General features: G+C 37.1%; 1 protein-coding gene across 6 annotated transcripts in view, besides 1 other annotated feature; it reads right to left on the bottom strand.

The window, feature by feature from the left end:
* Window positions 1-22,055, bottom strand: part of SPAG6 (sperm associated antigen 6) — a 72,115-nt gene that overhangs the window by 32,717 nt on the left and 17,343 nt on the right. For all 6 annotated transcript variants that reach the window (NM_001253855.2, NM_001253854.2, NM_012443.4 and 3 more), the window contains 2 exons: window positions 19,875-20,041; window positions 16,216-16,399 (listed from right to left, as the gene is read on the bottom strand). In NM_001253855.2, the coding sequence (NP_001240784.1) occupies window positions 16,216-16,399; window positions 19,875-20,041 (351 nt within the window). The remainder of the gene's footprint in view (window positions 1-16,215; window positions 16,400-19,874; window positions 20,042-22,055) is intronic.
* Window positions 5,805-6,034: an enhancer, noted in NCBI's record as "active region_3131". NCBI's record gives its function as "activates an Ori minimal core promoter by ATAC-STARR-seq in GM12878 lymphoblastoid cells {active_cell/tissue: GM12878}" and the evidence as "EXISTENCE:reporter gene assay evidence [ECO:0000049][PMID:35858748]".

Raw genomic sequence — 22,055 nt, 5'->3', positions numbered from 1 at the left:
TATCTATCTTTATAATTCCCATTCATTTGACCTGTTCCTTGAGTAATTCTTGAGTGCAATGTCCTTCTTCCTTAGAATAACATAATGTTAAAAAGAAAGCAAATTCTGTTCTTCTAACTTGTTGCCCAAGTTTTCTATTCTCTCCAGAGTAGCAATGTTAAATGTGGGGAAGGCCGGGGATGGCAGTGGAAAAAGATTTGCCATGAAGCTAAAGAAGTTTCCAAGGACCTAAAGTGGGCCTAGCAATTTTGTACTTGCAATTTCATATAGTTTACATCCCCAAATGTATATGGTTCTACTGCTCTTGAGTAGCACACTTTTTACTTAGAAGTATTGTTCTCCTAGCTTCAAACATATGTTAATATTAAATATCAGATAGTGAATGTATATACAGATAAGAATACAATAGGCCTAAATAATGTAGACTCTACATATTACACATCCAACAGGCTATTTCATTCTGACCTATCACTACTCTTTTTCCCATTATTGTTTCCTCTATTGTTTCTATGCCAGCCACTGTTGGTGTCTACCCGATAGCCATCGTCAGCTAGGGCATAGGCTTGTGAGCCAATCCTAGACCTAAGCAGAAGTCAGCTGGAAGCAACTGTGAAAGCTCTGTAATAAACTGAGATACACAGCAGAAAATACCACCTCTTCTTTGTTGGACATGGTCATGTCTGCAAATAGCATCTGGAACTCCTACATCCATCTTGCAACTATAATGGAAGAAATCACCAATATGCTGAGGATGGCTGAGTACAAAAATGAAAAACATCTGGGTACTCCATGACATTGTTCAGCTGCAAAACCAGCTTTGGAACTGCCCTTACTCTGAACTTTGTGTCATGTGAATTTAAAAAATGTCCCTATTGCTTGAGCCACTTGTAGTTTACATGCTACAACTTACAGCTAAAAACATCCTGATATAATTCCTTCCTCTCTTATGCTTGGTGTCTGTACATGGTTTTCTCTCCTCTTTCACTCACTGAATGTTCATTAAGTGCTTACTATGTGCTGCACACTTGGCTAGATCTTGGGGAAAGGGAATAAAAACATTGTTCTGTTCTAGAAAACCCTGCTCAGAGTGAATACATGAACAGGCCACTACAAGTACAGAGCAGAGCCAGGAATCAGGTCTGTGGAGTGTTCAGGGAAAATGTATACAGAAGTATCATTTCAGGAAGTGCTTCCAACCTTCCTTCCTTCTCCTCTTTTCTTCTTTCTTTCTGTATTTTCTTTCTTTCTTTTTTTTTGAGATGGAGTCTTGCTCTGTTGCCCAGGCTGGAGTGCAGTGGTGTGATCTTGGCTCACTGCAACCTCTGCCTCCTGGGTTCAAGCAATTCTCTGCCTCAGCCTCTCGAGTAGCTGGGATTACAGGCAACTGCCACCACGCCCAGCTAATTTTTTGTATTTTTAGTGGAGACAGGGTTTCACCATCTTGGCCAGGCTGGTCTTGAACTCCTGACCTCATGATCCACCCACCTCAGCCTCCTAAAGTGCTGGGATTACAGGTGTGAGCCACTGCGCCCAGGTTTTTCTGTATTTTCTACTCGAAAAAAACCAGCAGCAACCAAAACACATACAAAACTCTGCACACCTAAAGATCACTTCCCATAGGAGAAATCTCATGAAGTTCATTTTAAACTCAAACATGGAAATGAGTTTTTAGATGTCCAATTATCACATTATGAAATCAAAGATTGATATGTACCAACTTAGATGCTCAAAAAAGGTTGACCAAAAAAAGCAGTGAGCCAAGAAATTTATCTTCAGTCCCTGAAAATATCATTGCCTCATTTCAAATTTTAAGTAAATCTTCAAAAAATTTTTATAATATATCTTCCATTACACAATAATATGTGACATATCCTATACTGTTACATAACAAACAAGATTAAAAACTGGTTATACCTATGTCTAAAAATGCAAAGAGAAAAGGCTACATGTTATATCAACATGCTAACAGCATTTATACTGGGTTGATGGTACTATGGGTGGTATCTTTTTTCTCTGTTTGCCAAATTTTCTTCAATATGAGTTTTAAAAAAGTAAATATAAGCATGTCTCTTGCCCATACATATAGCTACTGCTGGGCCTAACTGTACTAACATTATTGTTACAAAGAAATAAACAAATGTAAAATTTTTAGCTTAATTTTTAATATAGCAGAAAGTTTCTTATTTTAAAAGATGGTGGAATATATGTCTTCTTTAATAAGGCACACCTAAATAATGCACATCATACATACTACACATCCAACAGGCTACTTCATCCTGCCTCTATCACTATTTTTAAAATAAATTATATGAAAGGAGTGTATCATTCTTCTTCAAAGAATTAATAATATATACTAGAAATAATATTCATTTACTTTTTCACACTTACCCTGCTGCCTTAATTCAGACCCTTATTAAAGTTAAAATATTACATTTTTTAAACATTAGGGGTTATTTATCTTTAACCTTTTTTTTGACTGCAAACTGTCAGAGGAAACTATCCAATAGCACCTTCCTTATTCATGAATAATAATTAAAGCTGTTTATTGCATATATGTAGATAAAAATGTACAGTCGCCAAATCTGATGATCAGTTGTTTTTTAGTAAAGGAATAACTAGTTTTATGTGGCTTAGGAGTAGCTCATTTTGAGTGAAGAAACTGAGGCAGCCTCCTCTGTGGTACTGTGACAAGCGAGGGGGAAGCGTAATCTTTTCACACTTCTCTGCCTCTCTCAGTTTTTCCATAATTCTTTCCAACAACATTTATGAGGGTATGTGCATACAATTTTTTGATCCGTAAAAACTTGGGGTGACAAGACTTTGCTTCTCACACAGTTGCATTTTCTTAAGAATTTCATTCTGTGCTGTTCTTGGAATCTGGGTTTTTGGTTTGTTTGGTTTTTTCCTAACGAAGGGCTAAGCTTGCAGTGATCTGTCAGTAACAGGCATGAGAAGTGTTGCAATTTAAGTGGATCAAAATCTTCAACTTAGAATAATCAAAAACCTCAGTATGACTTTAGGTTTAAGTTTAAAACAAAAAGAGAACGTAAATTAAAAGGAGGACTTTTAAGATCAACAACATTCATAAGATTAGTACTATCTAAAGCTGCATGAGTGGAACATTAGAAATAACTCTATGTTGACTGGAAGGGAAGAGAGCAGACAGGAATGCCCCTTAGCATAGTATAAGTATGGTTGTTACTAGGTAAATAAGACAAAAGTAATCTTGCTTTAATAGTGCCCCAGTGACTGCAACCTCTCTCAATTATGTCACGGCTAGTTGTCTGTTTAGATCAGAAGTGGTCAATGCAAATGCCCACAGGGCCCGGGAAAGTAACTAAAATAAATGAAGCCAGAGGACATTTAAAAAAAAAAAAAAAAGGTCGGGGAGTGGGAGAGCAGTAGTGAAGTGCAAAAGCCTAGGGACCATCTACAAGGGGCAGCAGTTTCTTAATTTCAGCCCAGTGTTGCTATGTAGGAATATAGGCCTACTGTTGTCAGGACTTTTTTTTTTTAATGTGAAATTATCTGGTTTTTAAGTGTTGGCAATTTTTTTTTTTTAAGAACACTGTGTGAGACAACATAGTGCTGGCCAAATAAAACACACCCCTCTGTGGGCCTGCTACGGCCTGAACCACCCCATTTTACAACCATAGGCTTAAATCTTACACCCTCTAAAACAGCCTGTGGGGGGCTTTCTGGGTATGGAAAGGTGATGTTCTTTCTACTTTTAATTTTTGAAGTCATGTTTGGGGTCACAGAGGAAGAACCACTATTGTGGTTACGTAAGAAAATTCAGAGAATTCTAAGAAATTAATAAAAACCTAAAAATTGACTCTTAAGAAAGGATTACTCTAAACATATGATACTCGAATAATCTTTCAGCTCATAGTGGAGATGTGAGACAGAAGAATTTGAGCAAACAAGTGATCATGAGGACTCATAAAAAGAATTCAAAATGAAGAGGTTCTCCAAAAAGAAAAAAGAAAAAAATATGTATCCAGCACACTAATTAAAAAAAACTCCTCTGGAACTTAATCTCTTTAAACTTTATTGCTTTTTAATTTTTTTTCAAACACTGCTTTTAACTATCTCTAAGCCCTACCAAAGTTATATTTTGTTTCATTAAAAAATACAACAAAGTTATAAATTAATCATTTCTTTGCAGTTAGGTGGCCCTATTTATCAGTTTGAAGATGGGCTGGTTTTTGCCATAAAAATATACAGCTGTATCACTTCAAAAGCTTTTTGAAATAAAGCAGGTCTAAAAAAAAAAATCTACATTTTGCCTGGGTACAGTGGCTCATGCCTGTAATCCTAGCACTTTGGGAGCCTGAGGCAGGCAGATTGCTTGAAGCCAGGAGTTCAAAACCAGCTTGGACAACAGGGCAAAACCCCGTCTCTACAAAAAACAAAAAAAACACAAAAATTAGCCAGGCATGGTGGCAAGCACCTGTAGCTACTCGGGAGGCTGAGGTGGGAGGACCCCTTGAACCCAGGAGGCAGAAGTTTCTGTGAGCCAAGATCACGTTGCTTCACTTCAGCCTGGGCAAAAGAGCAAGACCCTGTCTCAAAACAAACAAACAAACAAACAAACAAAACCTACATTTAAAATTGGCTGCCACTTATATGATATTAATGTTATGTTAATAATAATTCCTCATCCCATTCAACCAAATTTTTCATGATTGGGTGAAATTATAATAACAAATATGTTGCTGCAATTACCAAAGCTGGTTACTTACTGGTAACTCCAGCATGATTTTGGTAATAGCACTTCCAAAGTAAAAGAAATCTGTTGGCCAGGCGCAGTGCCTCACTCCGGTAGTCCCAGCACTTTGGGAGGCCAAGGTGGGAGGACTGCTTGCATCCAGGGGTTCAAGACCAGCATGGGAAACAGAGAGAGACCCTGTCTCCAAAAAAAATCAAAACTTAGCTGGACATGGTGGCACGTGCCTGTAGTCTCAGCTACTCGGGAGGCTGAAGTGGGAGGATTGCTTGAGCCCAGGAGGTCAAGGCTACAGTGAGGTGTGATCATGCCACTGTACTCAGCCTAGGCAACAGAGCAACACCCTGTCTCAAAGAAAAATCTCTTTAGGTTTTGGTCTAACCCAGCTGTTTACAACTGGTTTAGTTATCTACTGCTATGTAACATCACACCAAATTTAGCAGCTTAAAACAGCAAACATTTATTATCTCATAGTTTCTGTAGGTCAAGAATCTAGGAGTGGCTTACCTGCCAGGTTCAGGCTCAAGACCTATCACTAGGCTACAATCAAGAAGTCAACTGGGGCTGTAGTCAATTGAGGATATGTGTCCAGGCACACTCGTGGGAGGGTTAAAGGGAATCTTTAGTTCTGTGCCCTATGGGCCTCTACATAGGCTGCTCATGATGAGGCTTCCTCCAAAGTGAGTGATTCAAAAGAGAGGACCCAAGTGATTCAAAAGAGAAGACTCAAGATTATAAAAGACATTTCAGTCTTTTATAATCTAAGCCTGGACGTGGCATAGCATTGCCTCTGCTATAGTGCATTGGTGCAACGGGGGAGGGGACTACACAAGGATGTGAATAAGAGGAGGCAGGCATCATGGAGGCTGCTACCACAAAAAGCTTTGTTCTACACCAACACATCTGCAAGACAACATCCCTCCATAGGCAACAGTGACTCACTAGAGCTATCATTCTCAGCTGAGAGATTGACATCTCCAATTGCAGGTGGAAGTGAGAAAAGCATAAAGGGGGAATTTGCATATTACTATGTAAAAGTCTCGAGTGATTTTTATTTCTCACACACACACAAATGTCATTTTTCCTACTCTCATCATTTCTATCTTTCTTGCCTCCACCCAATCGTCAGAGCCATTAGTTTAACCCTAACACATGGGTTGAGTGTTTGAGAGCTTAAGGGTTAACATACATACATACATTTGCTTTAAAGGCGAAATAATTCTGGCTCCTTTAAAAAGTCAAGTGAGTCAAATAAGCCATTGATCTGGAGTTAACAGGGCTTTAGTAAGAAATTACAATCAGCTGGGAGGGAAGGCAGCTCTCACAGGACTCAAGTAAAAAGCAGCTTCAAAACATGGTAAGAAAAAGTCAAGAAGTGGAGACCAGACAAAAGGAAAGTGAGAAAAAAAACAAAACAAAAACACTTGGTTATAGCCTTGAACAACAATAGGCTGAGGAAATTTGAAGTCATTTTAGCTCCCATCCCCACCACTAATTTAGCATTAGACCTTTAACAGCTGAGACCAAGCTGAATCGAGTAACGCAAAACTACAGAGAGGGTCTGGAGTGTCCCGGTAAAGAAGAAAATAGCTAAAATAAATGGAATTACATCTTTACAAAGTAATGCTTTTTGAATCTAGAAGTTGTTTCATTTGTTTTCCACCTGCTTTATATAGCATTTGCAACCATAGTTGTGGTTTCACTCTACCTATAACTTTGCATTTTGCTTAAAAAAAAAAAAAAAAAACCTGCCCAGACTTCACCACTATGCAATGTATGCATGTAAGAAATCTGTACTCATGGCCAGACGCACTGGCTCACGCCTGTAATCCCAGAACTTAGGGAGGCCGAAGTGGGCAGATCACCTAAGGTCAGGAGTTCAAGACTAACCTGGCCAACATAGTGAAACCCCGTCTCTACTAAAAATACAAAAATTAGCCAGGCGTGGTGGCATGCACCTGCAATCCCAGCTACTCGAGAGGCTGAGGTGGGTGAATCGTTTGAACCCAGGAGGCGGAGGTTGCAGAGAGCTGAGATTGCACCGCTGCACTCCAGTCTGGGTGACAGAGTCAGACTCTGTCTCAAAAAGAAAAAAAAAAAAAAAAAAAAGAAAAGAAAAGAAAAAAAGATCTGTACTTGTACCCCGTAAATACATAACAATTTTTTAATTAATATACAAAAATAATTTTTAAAATAAATAATAGAAACAGTTTTAAAAACCATGGAAAATGCATGTTATTATTCAAACTTCAAAGGTATTCACTCCTTGCTCCAGCCCAGTGCTAGGTAAGAAGTCCCTGTCTTCAAGGAGCACAATCTGATGGAGAAGGCTAGACAGCAAAAGGCCACAGGTACCCTGATGGGATTCTCTAGAACAGGTAAAGGAGAGAAAACAGAAAGAGGAAATAAAAATAAAACATTGGGAGGGTAATATGTAGATGTCATGTTTTTATAAACGTGGTCCCTGGTCAGCAGTGCTTGCTGTGACTCCCCTGAGTGGTTCTCACACCCTCATGGGTTTCCACTGGCTACTTTTATTCCTGAGGATTCAGCTAACCCAACATTTTTAACAGTTGCCTAATATCCCACTGAGCAAATATGCCATCATTTACTTAACCAGTTTCCCACTTGAGGACATTTAATTAATTTTTGGTTTGGTTTGGTTTGGTTGTTTGCTATTATACAGTATAATGAACCTCTTTTGCATTCAGATTACATATTAGTTATCTATTGTCATGTAACACACAATCCCAAACTGAGCAGCTTAAAACAACATCACTTATTATTTCAGAGTTTCTGCGGGTCAAGAACTCAGGAGCAGCTTAGCTAGGTGGTTGTGGCTCAGAATTACAAAGTTGCTGTCCAGTTGTCAGCTGGGGCAGTCGCCTGAAGGCCCACCTTGGGGAGGATCTGCTTCCAGCTCAATCTCGTCATTGCTGGGAAGCCTCCATTCCTTGCTGGCTGCTGGAAACCTCAGTTCTTCACCATGTGAACCTTTCCATAGGCCACCTAAGTGTCCACGTAACAGCTTCCCCTAGAGCAAGTGGCCCAAGAAAGACAGAGTGCCCAAGACAGAAGCACTGATTTTTTTTTTTTTCTCCAGAGGCAGGATCTCACTCTGTCACCCAGGCCAGAGTGCAGTGGCGCCATCATAGCTTACTGCAGCCGGAAACTCCTGCTCAAGTGACCCTCCTCATCCTCCCAAGTAGCTGTACACCACTATACTCAGCTAATTTTTTTTTTTAAGAGATGAGATCTCGCTATGTTGCCCAGGCTAGTCTTGAACTCCCGGCCTTAAGCAATCCTCCCACCTTGGCCTCCCAAAGTGCTGGGACTATAGGCATAAGACACTGTGCCTGGCCTCTTATCTTTTATAACTTGTTCTCAGGAAGTGACATACCATGACTTCTGCTGGCCACACAGACCAGCCCTGGTATAAGACAGGAGAAGACTAAACAAGGGTCTGAAAACCAGGACACACGATGTGGGAGGCTGGCTACTACAGGTCATACACACACACACACACACATGTCCACAAGTATACGCACATGCATGTATGTATACTGGTATACATGTATGTTTGTATACACGTATGTATAAACAAAAATAACACATGTCTTTTTAAGACCACAGAATTACTAGCACATTGCCTTTTAACAAATATCTACAAAGCACAGACACAGTAATTTTATGTGCTACCCAATAGAAATATTATCTACATAATGTAATTTAAAACTCGAAATTAGCCACACTTTAAAAGTAAAAAGAAATAGGTGAAAATAATTTTAATATGCTTTAACACAATATATCTCAAATATAATTTCAACATGCAATCAATATTTTAAACATTTAGTGAGATATTTTACATTTTTTCACACTAAGCCTTGGAATCTAGTGTGTATTTTGCACTTACAGCATTTCTCAATTCAGCCACTAAATTTTCATCAAAAATGCTCAATAAGTATTTAGATTTCAAAAAGTTTACAGTTGAAAAGGTAGAGTCACATACCCAAGTTGCTCCAATTATACCTACAAATTTTTAAATAACTAAGTTGAGTATCAATTTTTAAATTTACATTAATTAAATGGCAATAAAATAAAAAATGTAGCTCCTCAATGTGCACTAGCCTCAGTTCAAGTGTGCAAAAGTCTCATGTGAATAGAGGCTACCATACTGCGAACACTGTAGTGTGAGATCAAAAGGGATACAGAGAAATGGTCTGTGGCTAGTTATAGCACAGTGACACCAAAAACGCTAGAGGTCCTATCTTCAAAAATCCTTTGAGGTGGCCGGGCACAATGGCTCACACCTGTAGTCCCAGCACTTTGGGAGGCCAAGGCGGGAGGATGACAAGGTCAGGAGTTTGAGACGAGCCTGGTCAACACGGTGAAACCCCATGTCTACTAAAAATACAAAAATTAGCCAGGCATGGTGGCAGGCGCCTGTAATCGCAGCTACTTGGGAGTCTGAGGCAGGAGAATCGCTTGAACCTGGGAGGGGGAAGTTGCCGAGATCACACCATTGCACTCCAACATGGGCAACGAGAGCAAAACTCCATCTCAAAAAAAAAAAAAAAAAGAAAATCCTTTGAGGCAATTAACTTATTCCACACTTTTAGAGCAAACTAGTTCATTCATCTAAAACCCTGATAAGAGCAAACCAAGCTCCAAAAATTAACTGTGCAAAATCAGTCAGCTAACATGATGAGAATACAGCTCCTATTTTCCTGTAGACTGTGGATTTAAAAATCTATGGGAAAACAAGATGATGAACATGTCTTATCTCAAGGTACAATTCTTATGCTAACCAACTCCTGAGCTTCTAATAGCAAACTCTCTTGTAGATGTTTGTGAAATGCTCAATTGGAGCACTTTCAAATTTCAGTCAAGTATATTTTGCTTCATGTATTTCTAGAAATTCAAATGTAAATAAAAGTGGGCTCCTCCCCCCAATATCAAAAAGGTATTAGGCAGATTTATACGCCAGTGACTGGAAAACAAACTAAGTTCAAGAAACAATAGAGAAACATGTCATGGTGCATTGTTCAAACTTGGTTTATTTCCAAACCACCAGTACACAAAATATCCTTCTCTTTATCCATTTAGCACACATACACTTAATCACATTTCTCCCACAGGTATTTGCATAAAGCCAAAAACAAAGATTTAAACTAAAAGAATTGTAGGCGTTATCAAGTAGAGCAGGTATTTTGTGGGACAAAGCACTTTCCTTCCTCTTACTACTGCATGTATCACTTCCTCCTGTTATTTCTACGCCAAGGACTGTTCAGTTGTTATCTGGATGTAACAAAGTTCTTGAGAAAGTAAAGATTCCTCTTTTTTGCCACTGTACAAAAAAGGTAACTCAAAATTCATCTTTTTTTTTTTTGAGACAGGGTCTCACTCTGTTGCCCAGGCTGGAGTTCAGTGGCACAATCATAGCTCACTGCAGCCTCAACCTCCTGGGCTCAAGTGATCCTCCCACTTCAGCCTCCCAAATAGTTGAGACCACAGGTGCACACCACAACATCTGGTGAATTTTTTTTTTTTTTTTTTTTTTTTACATACAGGGTTTCACTATGTTTCACAGACTAGTCTTGAATTCCTGGGCTCAAGTGATCCTCCCACCTCAGCCTCCCAAAGTACTAGGATTACAGGCACGTGCCACTCTGCCCAGTTATAATTCATCTTTCATTTACTCTAATGTATAGTCACTCAATGCATTATATATGCTTTTAATACAGTATTGTACATTGTGTCAGTGTTTGCCTAGCTGTCTAGATGACCTGCATGCTCATCTGTATTAATTTTTCTGCCTTAGATTATAAAGTCCCACACACGAGGTCTTAGTCAATTTATTGTACTTCATATAGTGGGAAAGATATGGGAACACAGACATAAATGCCTCAAGTACATTTTGATGATTACCATGATGATGACATTGTTAAATAAATGAATTGCTAGCCTCATATAAAAAGTCAGAGGCATGAGTAACTTAGGAATCTGAGCTTATATATTACATTCTGTTGCTCTAGATTCTAAGTTAAAAAAAATTAGAAGATTTTATTAGCCAAGAGTTCCCAACTAAAAATGTTACAAGAAATAAAAACACAAAAGAATCACAACATTTTTTACCAGCACACAAAGTGAACCCTAAAAATAACCAACCAATTAGGTAACTACCAAGTAAAACAAGGTTATAATTAATTAAAATGTTGTTTTGTTTAGCACATTTGGCCTCTATGCCCAAAAAACATAGAGGGATATTTATTTTCACTTTATATTTTTTTCACTAGCACCTAAAAAATACAAAGATATTTGTGAAAATAAGTGCTAGGGTCAAAATAAATGAAATATATAATATATGTTATCCCACATACCTCATTTGCCTCTATGTTTGTGTTCCTCAACCCCCTACAATAGAAAAAAAGGTATGAAAAGAAAGATAAAGAAGCAAAAGATGTTACTGGAACCAACCGAAATCTATAGGCGTCAGTAAAGACGGCTGTCTGCAGGGCCTTTAAAATAATTTTTAATTACCAGGTTGTAGTCCCTTCTCCCCATCCATTCCCCCTCTAAGAAAAACCATTCAAAGTCCTTAGCTCTTATCTCTGATATTTGTCATTAATATTTGGGTTTTTAAAAAGTTAATTACTTTGAAAATTGCTAAGACTATATTTTGTGTTCTCACCATAAATAAGTAGGTGAGATTTTTTAATTAATTACTGCTTCCTAAGCCTGTTCTGCACTATTTAAGCTATTGATATTTGTACATGGGTGGCATAAGAAGAATATTCAAAAGAATTCTGAATTTTAAACTTTTCATTTTATCATTTCATCATTCAATACAAGATAGAAAACAATCGGGCTGCCAGCTCATCTTGAGACCTTGCTTACATTATCTATCTAGTAAAGAGGATACAATGGACTCAATGTTTCCGTCACGTCCACATCAGCCAGACCCTGCAAGCGCTGCTCATCTCTGGCGCAGCAAGCTCATCTCCCAACTGCCACAGAGCTGGACAGAAATCAGGTCCACAAGAGAAAGAAGAGTCAACCGGGTGGAAAGCGGCCAACGGAGATTAGAAACAGAGGTATCTGGCAAGACTTTCAGATATTACAAGGAGCTAAAAAAGAATGATGAGATCTTGTACACATTCCTCCCTCACAGTGTAAAATGCAAGAATCTCTGGAAGTGTTGAGCAGTTGCCAAGCAGTTCCACCGTAAATTGCTGTGTAACCAGAATAAATCCTTTAACCTCTCTACTTCAGTCTGCTCATCTATGTGACAACTATATCAATAATTTAAAAGTTGTAGAATGTCTAATCAAATGTATTCCTCTTTGCCAGGCTTGAGATAAGCCAAAGTTTACCACAAAGAAACACTTTTTTTTTTTTTTTTAGCTAAAGCTCCCAAAATAAACACTTAAAACTCATTTTTGAGCCCAAATGTGGAAGACTATTCACACAAAACACTTCCGCACACTTGCAGCCAGGCTGCTGCTCCCACCTCAGTCCCAAGTGCTCTCATTGCGGCCACTGTCTCCACAGACGGCCATTCATTGGAAGCACCCTCCACAGAGCCACAGGACTTCAGTCACAAGGCCTGAGGGAGGCTGCTGGGGACCAGGGGAGGAGGGCCTGGAGCCTCCTGCAGCGGCCTCCCTCACCCACCTCCCAGTGGCTGAGCCATCAGCTGAGGAAGCCCGGCGGCTGGGGAATCCCACCATCCCTCCTACCTTGCCCATCATGCTTCCAGCTGGCACAGGCTCTCCAGGCACCCTTTCCAAAAGCAAGACTATTCCTTGGAAACAGTGACAGATTTCATATTGGTTGAATAAATAAATATGTTAATAGAATAACTATATATCCATGTACAAAACTGCACTTGTGCCCCTTAAATTTATACAAACTTTTTAAAGTTTAATTTATAAAGCGGGCATGGTAAGAGATTAACAACAATAGCTAATAATAAAAGAGAACAATTATAACAACAGACTAAAAAAAAGTTGTGTAAATGAGGAAACAAAAGAAGAATTCTGCAGAGTGGGAAAGGGTTACAAAAAGTAAGAAAAACGAAAGCCTATCTGAGAAGAATTCTACCTCAGCTGTCACTAAGGAGCAGGAAAAACTAGAAAGAAATCACTTATTTATCTGCAAAGTCAGAGGTAAACATTACCATGTGTATTCAATAACTGGTGATTCAATCATAAAACTTAATGATATGATTTGTACACAGTTGGAAAAAAAAAACCCCACCATTTCTGGTTGTCAGCCCCAAGTTCCCTTTGGCTGTCTGTAAAATGCTTTAAAATCTTTACATAGAAATAAGTTTTAGAAGTTGTATTTTTCAAACAAGGAAAAGTCAGGTAATGCCCATCGGCTTCTCTCTATGCTTATTTTAATTTTGTTTCCTGTACACAGAACTTTTTCCTTCTATTGCCCTTAAAAGTATATATTATTTCTTTTGCATCTCAATTTAAGATTTATATTTCTTAAACTGTCTAACCAAACAGTTTTTCACTAATATTCATTAATCTCAATATATTTTGCTTTTAGGAAATCATTAAGAAATCAGGTTATTTTCAAAAAACAAACAAAACAAACAAACAAAAGCCGGACGCAGTAGCTCACGCCTGTAATCCAGCACTTTGGGAGGCCGAGGCGGGCGGATTACAAGGTGAGGAGTTCGAGACCAGCCTGACCAACATGGTGAAACCCCGTCTCTACTAAAAATACAAAAATTAGCTGGGCATGGTGGGGTGTGCCTGTAATCCCAGCTATTTAGGAAGCTGAAGCAGGAGAATCACTTGAACCCGGGAGGTGGAGGTTGCAGCGAGCTGAGATTGCACCACTGCACTCCAGCCTGGGCGACAGAGCAAGACTCCATCTCAAAAAAAAAGAAATCAGGTTATTTGGAGGTAAATCCTCCATTTTCATTGATATGGATGTGAGTGATAACTTTTATGGTTTACTAGGTAACAATTCCCTTTCCTTCTGAGAAATCTATGCAATAATCTCTTCTGGGAGCTTCTGGGTCCCAGGCCCCTAACTACTGTGAAATATTGAAATTACAGTGGAAATTCCATGTGGGAGCCAGATTATACCAAGAATTTGGAATGGAACCCCTAAGACAGATCCTGTTTATGAACTATAATCATTTTGCCCCAGACTCAACAAAATGAAGGGATGGAAATGTTATCTGTGGGGCACCTGCCTGAGAGAGTATCTATACAGTTGTCCCTCAAAGCTCTTTTCCAACACTCATGTTATAATCTGTAATGTGTCCCTCTGACTTAAAAAAAAACTTACTAAATATACTCATGTAGTTTCCCATGATAACCAGCTTTTGATTGAAAACCCTGCTGTAGTTTTGTCAATCAACATGTACTAAACAATAGTCTTAAGGTGAACCTTTTTGGAAAATCAAAATCTAGATTTAAGAAAATAATTTAATAATTTGTAATTTAATTCTGAATAATTCTAAGCATGACAAGAGTTGTCTTTTTCAACTTGCCTTTTATACTGTTTTATTTCTATTTTGTCTGTAATAATGTCACCATTTTAAGAACCAAATTAAATATAACCATAGGAAAGCCTCTTCCTGTTTCTGTTTTGAAGTTTTTCTTCAATACTGTTTCAGGAAGTATTTAGTGAAGCTGTATGGTATAGTAGTTAACAAAGGCTTTACAGTCAGACAGTTAGACTCAAATTCCAGTTCCACCATTAACATAATTTTGGATATCCTTTCTAAAGTCCACTTTATTTCTCCATTTAACAGGGAGAGTAATGCCCACCCAAGGGTAGCTGCAATCAAAATGAGATAATGTGTCTGAAGCACACAGCACAGAGCCAGGCATATACTAATTACTCACTACACAGCAGCTAATATTTTAGACATAGACACACACTGAAAATCTGGAACATGAAGAAAAAATTCCTTAATTTTACCACCTTAGGAATACAAACATGATTTTTTTGTAATTATATCCACATAAAAACTTATGTTTACATTATTGTAATTGTAATATACAATTTTATATCTTTTTTAACATTATAATCACTTTTCCATGTTACCATGTAGGTTCATAATTACCTTTTAAATTTGTTGCCTCAGATTTCATTAAGTTCCATAATTTATCCACTAAATTTCTGTCAAATATTTGAGGGGTTTACAAATCATGCTATAATAACATTTGCATGAATATAGCTTTTCCATCCTGTGGAATTCTTTCCTTAGGATGAATTCTCAAAGCAGGCTTTTTTAGGGCAATGACTTTAATAGTTTTGTCAAACTGCTCTCCACCAGTTTATACAATTTGTAGTTCCTCCACCAATGTGCACACGTCATATCGTCCACTCTGACATTCATTATTAATACTAATATGTTACATTTACTGAGTATTGCCATATGTCAAAGCACCGACCTAAGTGCTTTACATGTATTGTGTCATCATCCTCACAACAAATCTCTGATGTAACCACTATTAGTCATCCTCTTCCACAGATGAGGAAGCTAAGGTTCAGAAGGTTTATAAGCCATGTCCGAGGTCACACAGCAACTAAATGGTAGTATCTAAACTAAACTCAGACCCTGTCTAATGCCACAGTGCTCTTAATCACCTGGCTATATTGCTGCTTTACTCTTCTGCCACCACCCCCCACTCAAATAACAGGTTAAAAAGATCTTCATTGATGTTTTCGTATAGAATTTGTTGATTACTAGCAAAGTTGATCATTTTTACATATGTTTATTTTAAAACTGTATTTTCTTCTTATGTTATTTGTTCATAAGCAACTTCTATAAAGTGACGGGGAAAATTATGTTCCTCATGTACTTTTTACCAATTGGGTGAGTCAACACAATCCTCTCACAAGAGGCCCAGGTCCCCTCTTGATGACCCCACTGAGCTGTCAGTTTATAGGAGAACATGCTCCTTCTCTTCTTCCTGCCCAGTATGAGTTGAATACCAATATTTTCCAGGAAGTTATGTCCATATCTCCTCAACATCACTCACTCGTGCTATGTCTCCTGGTTGGTTTGGAACTCCCTATCATGAATGGGCAGGAAGACCAAATGACCCCAAGAGGGTGACTAACTAAAATAATTTATTAGGTTAATGCAAAAGTAATTGGGGTTTTTGCCATTAATGGCAAAACCACTTATGCACCAACCTAATAACTGAACCAATTTACCAAGGCCTTTGAGACTCAAGCCTACTCTCCCACCCGCTGCCACCCCTCTCTCCTTTTCTCCACCTCTTCAAATTTCCCTTCTGCTAAGATAAAGACTGAAATATATAGGGTTTTTTTTTGTGAATATATGATCCAAACAACTTGGCCATCATTCAAAACGTACTTCTCATCACATACAGAAACATCATTAAAACCCCACCTATGTTTTACTAAGCAAAACTGGATTTACCTAATAAATCTGAATTGTAATAATCCTATTTTAAAATATGCTCCTGCATATTTTAAATTACCTGCATTATGTCTTGCAATATATCTAAGTGCCCAGGCTGCAGCCTCCTTGACTCCAGGGTCAAAATCTTCCAAGCATATGACCAGCGTATCCAGTGCTCCACAATCGACTATTGCCTGAGCTAGCTGGGGAGAATGTTTACCAACTGCTCGTAACACAAAGGCAGCTGCTTTCTTGTAGAAGCGCTACAAGGGTCAAACAGACAAAACTCAAAATGAATTGAGTACTTAGAAAACCAAAATCTAAAATAGACCAAAACTACATAAAAATAACATTACTATAAATAAAGCTCAACAGCTTTTGAATATAAAAGATGAAAAACATCCTGCAAAATAATTTTGATTATTTGATGTGCCCTCATTGCTTCTGTTCAGTAACTCAACTGAAAACAAGGTAGGTTTTACATTGTATTTCAAATGTTTTACCCTGAAGCCTGCATTTGGAAATTGTATAAAATTATAAACATACTTTCCACAAATTCATAAAATAACGAGATTTTATGTATCTGCATTACACCAAAATGTATTGTTTGACCCTTGGGAACTCTTAGATTGTTAGCATGTGCAACTAAGCTCACTGTCAACTGACTAATTCATTTCCTTTACTTGCCCTCAGTCTTTAAGCATGGTAGGCCTTTCATGACCTCAACTAATCTTTCTGGTGTCCTAAATTATTCTGAAGTAACAACCATGTTCTAAAATGTGCTTACAATCATCAAATAAACATAAAGGCAAAACATTCATGACACATTTTAAAACTTTTCCTGGCAAATAAATCAGCCAAACAATGGGATATAAGTTATTTTCTCTAGAAATGCTTTTTTTTTAAGATAAAAGCAAATTACTTACCATTTTGTAAATTTTAAATACTGCTTCATATTTATATTTCCTATAGATGCATTGTTTCTCACTAAGGAATGAGTAAATGAAACTGAAACACAAGACTAACATGTTTCTCTTCATATCGCTAAAAAAATTAAATGTATAGGAAATATGTGGCTGTGACACTCACTATGGTTTTATGGTTAGCATAATGACACAGTGATGGTCTCCTAACTCTTTCTGTTATTAATAAAACCCAATTAAACCCCTATTTTACATTCTAAGTTTCTATTTCTTCACAGTGACTAATGAAAAGTGACTAGTTGACTACAGCACCTGTTTTGAAAGCATTCTGTTCACTTAGACTATAATATTGATACAATGAAAATTACAGGAGAAAAAAACACATCAAGTACATCTTAAACATAGTATATCTTAAAAATCAGTATATGTTGCTAATATAAGAAATATGCTATATTAGTACTGATGTTTTTGATTTGACATATTTTCTTTAGTTTCTTAAATTATATAAGTAACCAAATTTCTACTAATTTACTCTAAATATTAGAATAGAGTTTTGAAGTAGGTTTCCATAGATTATTTTCTTACAAATGTGGGGAAAAAATGGTGATACATTTATTTTCATTACCTTAGCTAACTTGACTTTTTATACTGCAGAATTGTCAAATTTACAGAACATTTATGGGTATCAATAGTCACTATTAATTCCAGTGCCTATAACTAACACTTTCTGATCTCATTCCCTCTTTCTCCTAATTTTCACTTCCCCCAAATTCCTAACACTCTTCTCTTCCATTCCTCATTAAAAGAAATGCCAAAAAAAAAAAACCCAGCAAAACCACAGGACTTTGTACCTCATAAAGAGGAGATTAAATCTCCTGTGAGAAATGACTTAAAGGCTGGGAGGTGAGGGAGACAGAAGCTTGTGCAAAGGCTTCGTGTTTTCACTGCCTCCTCACTTTTCTGCTGTAGTGCTTTTTTGTCTCTCTACAACTAATTAACATTTATTCAACTTAGAAAACTTCTACTGAAAATCTTCTACGTGGGATACCAGAATACAGACTCTGCTCTCAAAAGAAAGAGCTAAGAGTCCAAGAGGAAGAAAGCCCAACAGTATTTGATGATAGAAGGAATATCCACAAGAAAAATAAAATTTCTGTGACTCCTTGTAGAGCTATAACAAGCATTAGTAAGTGACTCTCTCATCTATAAATATAAGGAAAATTTCTGCACCATTAGGATTTATTTTTATTCTGGCAAAATACACATAACATGAAATTTACCATTTTAACCATTTTAAAGTATACAATTTAGTGGCATTTAGTGCATTCACAATGTTGCACAACCATCACCACTATATAGTTCTAGACTATTATCATCAACCCAACAAGAAACTTCTTACAAATAAAGCAGTCAATTCCCATTCCCTTCTCCTTCCAGCCCCTGGCAACCACTAATCTGCTTCTGTCTCTATGGATTTACATATTCTGGATAGTTCATATAAATGGAACCATACAATCTGTGGCCTTTTGTGTCTGGCTTCTTGCACTTAGCATATGTTTTTATGGGTCATCCATGGTGTAGCATTTATCAGTACTTTATTCCTTTTATGACTAATAATCCATTGTATGGATACACAACATTTTGTTTACCCGTTCATCTGTTGATTGGATTAGGTTGCTTTCACCTTTTGGCTATTGTGGATGCTGCTGCTATGAATATTTCTGTGCAGGCTTTGCTGGAGCATCTGTTTTCAATTCTTTTGGATATATAGCTAGGAATAGAATTGCTGAGTCACGTGGTAACAAATGTTTCACTGACTGCGGACCTGCCAAAGTGTTCTCACAGTGGTTTCCCCCATTTTACATTCCTACCAGCAATGTATGAAAGTTCCAATTTCTCCATGCCCTCACCAACACTTGTTATTTTCTTTTTATTTTTTATTATGGCCACCCTAAAAGGTATGAAGTGATACCTCATTGTGGTTTTGATTTGCATTTCTTAATGACTAATGCTGTGGAGCATCTTTTCACATGCTTCTTGGCCATTTTTATATATTCTTTGGAGAAATGTCTATTTAATTCCTTTGTCGATTTTTCAATTGGCTTGTCTTTTTGTTACACAAATAGGAATTTAATCCCAAAGATATGTCAAGAAAGCTCTATCCCTAGGTTATGATAAACTAACAGAATAGAATGAACAGTCCAAAACCTACCTACAAGTGGTCCTTAACTACTGTGAAAACCAAATAGCTGGCATTGTATAGAAAAAGAAAGTGGTACCAGATAGGAGGGGGAAAAAAACAGGGCAATTTCAGATAGTGCTTAACAGAGTTGGCATGCCTATAACTTGGTAAAAAAAGATTTATCAAACCTTCCATTACACATACTTATTCTCTTCCTCTTTTTGGTTGCTTCTCTACCCCTTGCCTCAAGGCTGTCTCTCACTATTTCCCTTAACTTGGTTTCACCAGCATATAAGGACTGCTGAGATCAACTATTTGCCTAGGGTCTACATACTTCCCTAAGACAGATCCGATAGCTTTGTTTAAAACTCTCATATATAGAAATACTGCTTTATGTATAATTCTGCCTAAAAAAATCTATTTTCTCCTTATATTATCAATAATAGATAAATGGTGGTTATCAGCACCAAAGCAAAATACCCTGAAAATATGATTACATGCAGCTCAGATAATTGAAGATTGTGTTAACCCCCTAATAATTTTATGCCTACAGGCTTGCAACTGTATCCAAACTGTCACATTTTTAAAAATCTAAAACAAAAAAACATATAACTAGTTTTTTTTAATTCTTACATTCTGTTCTGCCAATGAATAAACAAGCTGTGGAAGAATGTCGCACTTCACAACAGCTTCTGCTAGGTCATCATTATAATTGGCCAGTCTCCCAAGAGCCAAAGCAGCAGTCTGTTGAATTGTTGGGACCACGTCCAGAAGAAGAGTTCTCAGCAAAGACATTACACCTGAGTTAAATTATGAAAGAACAGAAATCAGGAAAATTTAAATTAAAAAGCAAAAATACAATTCAGTATATATGCAGACAGTAAAATTAAAGGGAAAAAATCAGTAAAAATAAAACTATTCACCATAAACTAATGGAAATTTAGAAGTACCTAACTGGCCAAGACACAGAATAATACAAGCGATCATTGTTAAACATGCAGTAGAGCATGGAAATAAGAAAGGCTTTGGATTTAGGTAAGAATCCCTGATTCAGCAAGTCCTGTCTATATTACCTGATAGGGTTAATTATGAGGCATGCAGAGAAAGGTTGTAGAGTATGCTATGATGCCTAACACAAAAAAGATAGGGCTTCCCCCCAGACTTTGCAAATCTTATATTTCAAGGCTCGCTTCAAGGCCTCACCTGCGTATTATCTCCAAATAAATGTCTTGGAGATGAGGAAGTGTACTACTAGTGCTCATCATATTCATCCAAGGGTTGAATGCATAGTAGGTATATCATCATCATCACCACAACAGCAACAATAGTAAAAGTAGCTCATATTTATCAAGGACTTATTATATGCAAGCACTGTTCTAAGGACTTTTTTCCATAAAAACTCATTTAACTTTTATAACAAAACTATGAAGCAGGCCCTACTATTATGTCTATTTTACAGATGAGAAAATTGAGGCTGAGAAAGGTTAATTGTCACACAACTAATGAATGGTAAAGTAAGGTTATAATTTATACATTTTTCATTGATAATTGTTAAAAAATACATATTGAAAACTGAGGAGGTGGGAAGAGAGACACCAATAGTATTTGCATTGTGGTCATTTTACTGGATATTCCAGCTCTTTCTATTAACTTTGCCTTACTGTAAATTCTGCAAAAGAGTCGACTGCTATTTCTGTTTTAATGATGCTGTTTTAGTCTAAGATTACAAGAAATGTAATGACAGAATTCAAAATATAACAAAGTACCCGTTGACTTTCTACACTTTAATTTACACCAGTCTACTCAATTAGATATCATTAAATCTTTTCTTTAAAAATATATCCTAGTTATACACAAAAGCAAATATTACCAGTATTCTTTTATAGTATTATATGCAGAAACATTTGAAATAGAGCAAAAAGAAAACATTTACAATAACACCTAAACACTTGATCTTAGCCAAAGGTCGAGAAGCCATTATAGTAACACTTAGGATTAGACCAAAATAAAAGAGTACTAGCAAATAACCTAAGCAGAGAGCGGTGATGCTTATCACAGACACATTTAATGATGTGACCTATGGATTTTCCTAGTTTCTGGTTTTACTTAGTCATTAGTTTCGTGCCTAAGTTGGCTAGGTTAGATCATCTTCTATCACCGTTGCAGGTGTGAATCCCACGAAGGCTGGTAAGCGCTGCAGGCACACAGAGCCCCTGCCCACACTTGGGTCATAGCTCATGTTCAACAAATCCAGTGTTCATGGGTGTTGCTTATATATTATTATCTATACTGTTTGATAGAGATAATTTCTGAAATATCCACAACAAAAGTTTAAAGCACAGAACAAGGTATTAGCATGACTACTCAATGTTAACACAGGTTATTTCAGGAAAGGTGGATTTAAAAAAATTGTCCATCTCTTTGTAATTTGCTTTATTAGTTGATTCATTGTTGTTGGTTTCTTAGTGAGTAAAATACAAATAAAATAAAAATTACCATTTTAACCATTTTTAAGTTTACAGTTCAGTTGAGTTAAGTACATCCAAAATGTTGCGTGAACATCACCACTAAGAATTGCCAAACTGTTTTCCACAGCAGCTGAGCCATTTTACATTCCCATCATTTTACGAGGATTCCAATTTTTCCACATCCTAACCAGCACTTGTAATTTTCCAATTTAAAAAAATAACAGCTATCCGAATATGGATGAGCTGGTGTCTCATTGTGATTTTGATTTGCATTTCCATAGCACTAATAATGTTGAGCATCTTATGTGCTCATTGGCCATTTGTACATCTTCTTTGAAGAAATGTC

This window comes from Homo sapiens, chromosome 10 (assembly GCF_000001405.40).
Source record: "Homo sapiens chromosome 10, GRCh38.p14 Primary Assembly".
NCBI classification, from domain to species: domain Eukaryota; kingdom Metazoa; phylum Chordata; class Mammalia; order Primates; family Hominidae; genus Homo; species Homo sapiens.
This window is presented reverse-complemented; position numbering and strand designations above follow the sequence as displayed.